The sequence below is a fragment of the Homo sapiens genome, assembly GCF_000001405.40.
Source record: "Homo sapiens chromosome 14 unlocalized genomic scaffold, GRCh38.p14 Primary Assembly HSCHR14_CTG2_UNLOCALIZED".
NCBI lineage: Eukaryota > Metazoa > Chordata > Mammalia > Primates > Hominidae > Homo > Homo sapiens.
The window spans coordinates 34,231-36,675 of record NT_167219.1 but is presented as its reverse complement, the minus strand read 5'-3'; positions in this window follow the sequence as shown (position 1 = coordinate 36,675).

The window sequence follows — 2,445 nt, the reverse complement described above, 5'->3', positions numbered from 1 at the left end:
CTGGGATCCGGTGACGGTGGTCCGCTTTCGCCTGCCTTCTTGCCGGCCGCGTCTCCTGGGCCAGGGCCAAGATTCCCTCCGGTGCTGCCTGAGCTGGCGTGATATCTCATTCTGAAAACAAATCTGGAACCTGGGCTCTGGAATGCCGATGGCCTGGGCCAGCCATTCTCTGGTGGCGATGCCCGGGCACGGGTTCCACTCAAAGCAGGCTCGCATGGCTTCACTTTGGCTCGGGGTCCAAACAAGTCTCCTTTGCCGGCCCCATCCCCGGGCTTCCACGAGGAGGGCACCGTTCGAAGGTGTCGGGAGGGCCATCGCGGGTATCCCCGGCCGGAATTTCACAGACGGACACGGGCAGAGAGAGGCCGGCGGGCACCCGCGCACGTCAGCCGGCCTGTGCACTGTGGCAGGTGCAGCCAGGAGGCCTGCCCGGACAGCCAGCCAGCGGCTCTTATAAAGGCCCGTGGGCAGGCAGGATCCACCCCTTCTTGAATGGCGGTGAGCCCTGGGACAGCCTGCCCCACCCCAGAAGGGTCCCAGGGCGTTGAGGCCTGCAGCCGAGGGGTGGTGTGGTGGGGAGTGAGTGTGTGGTGATGGCGGTGGTGGGGCCAGAGAGACGAAGAGGAAGGGGGTGAGGGGGAAGCGGTGAGGGTGTTGTGTTTTGGTGGTGGCTCTCCGGACCTCCCCAGGAATCTCCCGGGAACTGGAAGCCGCTCTCTGGGCTCCCATGCGTCTTCAGCAGGGAGAAACCAGCGTGGGAGGGTGGAGGGGAGTGTGGAAGTGAACCTCCGTGGGAGTCTGGAGTGTTACAGGCCTTCTTTCCGTGAAAGAGGAAGTGCCTGTGGGTGTCGACATTGCCGGGACAGTCTCACACACGCAAGCGTATGGCTCTCGTTCATTTCCACGTAGGAGAGCAGAGCGAGACACCAGAGAGAAGATGCCTCCCTGGCATGATGGCCTGATGATGGATTCCCAAGTGTGGCAACATGGGGAGGCTGCAGTGTGGCCGGTTTGGAAACTGGCAAGGAGAGAGAAGGCACCATGCCAGTCTTCCACCCTTCCCTGCCTGTATCCGGGTGCCCGCAGAGATACGGGAGCAAACAGTCAGCATGACACATCTCTGAACTGATCAACAAAGTAAAGTAACTCTTTTCTAGGCTCTGCCTACAGGGGCTTTGTGACATATCTCTGCACTGATCACTCAGGTGATGGGGCTCTTGTCTAGGCTCTGCCTATGGGGGCATTGTGACACATCTCTACACTGATCACCCAGGTGATGGAACTCTTGTGTTGGATCTGCCTATGGGGGAATTGTGACATATTTCTGCACTGATCACCCAGGTGTTGGGACTCTTTTCTTTGCTCTGTGTATGGGGGCTTTGTGACATAACTCTGCACTGATCACCCAGGTGATGGAACGCTTCACTAGGCTCCGCCTACGGGGTATAGTGACATATCACTGCATTGATCACCGAGGTGATAAAACTCTTGTCCAGGCTCTAGCTATAGGGGGCCTTGTGACATATCTCTGCAGTGATCACCTAGGGGATGTAACTCTTGCTTATGCTCTGCCTTCAGGGGCATTGTGAAATACCTCTGCACTTATCACACAGGTGATGGGACCCTTCTCTAGGCTCTGCTTACTGGGGGCATTGTCACAGATGTCTGCACTGATCACCCAGGTGACGGACTATGGTCTTGGATTTGCCTATGGGGGCATTGTGACATATCTCTGCACTGATCACCCAGGTGATGTAACCCTGGTCTAAGCTCTGCCTAACGGGGCATTGTAACAGGTCTCTGCACTGATCACCCAGGTGATGTAACTCTTGTCTAGGCCCTATTTACAGGGTGTATTGTGACATATCTCTGCACTGATCACCTAAGTTATGTAACACTTGTGTAGGCTCTGCCTACAGGGGCATTTTGACATATCTCTGCACTGTTAACCGAGGTGATGTATCTCTTGTCTAGGCTGTGCCCACAGGGAGATTGAGACATATCTCTGCACTGATCCCGAGGTGATCCAAATCTTGCCTGGTCTCTGCCTACTGTGTACATTGTGACATATCTCTGTACTGATCTCCCAGGTGCTGTAACTTTAGTCTAGGCTCTGGCTACACGGCCTTGTGACATATCACTGCAATGACCACCCAGGTGATATAATTCTTGTCTAGGCTCTTCCTACAGGGGGCTTGTGACATATCTCTGCACTGATTACCCAGGTGATATAACTCTTCTCTAGGATCTTCCTACAAGGTGCTTTGTGACGTATCCCTGCAATGATCACCCAGGTGATACACCATTTGTCATGGCTCTGCCTACAGGGGCATTGCGATGTATCTCTGCACTGATCAGATAGGTCATGTAACTCTTGTCTAGGCTATGCCTACAGTGGCATTGTGACATATCTCTGCACTGATCACCAAGGTGATGTAACTCTTT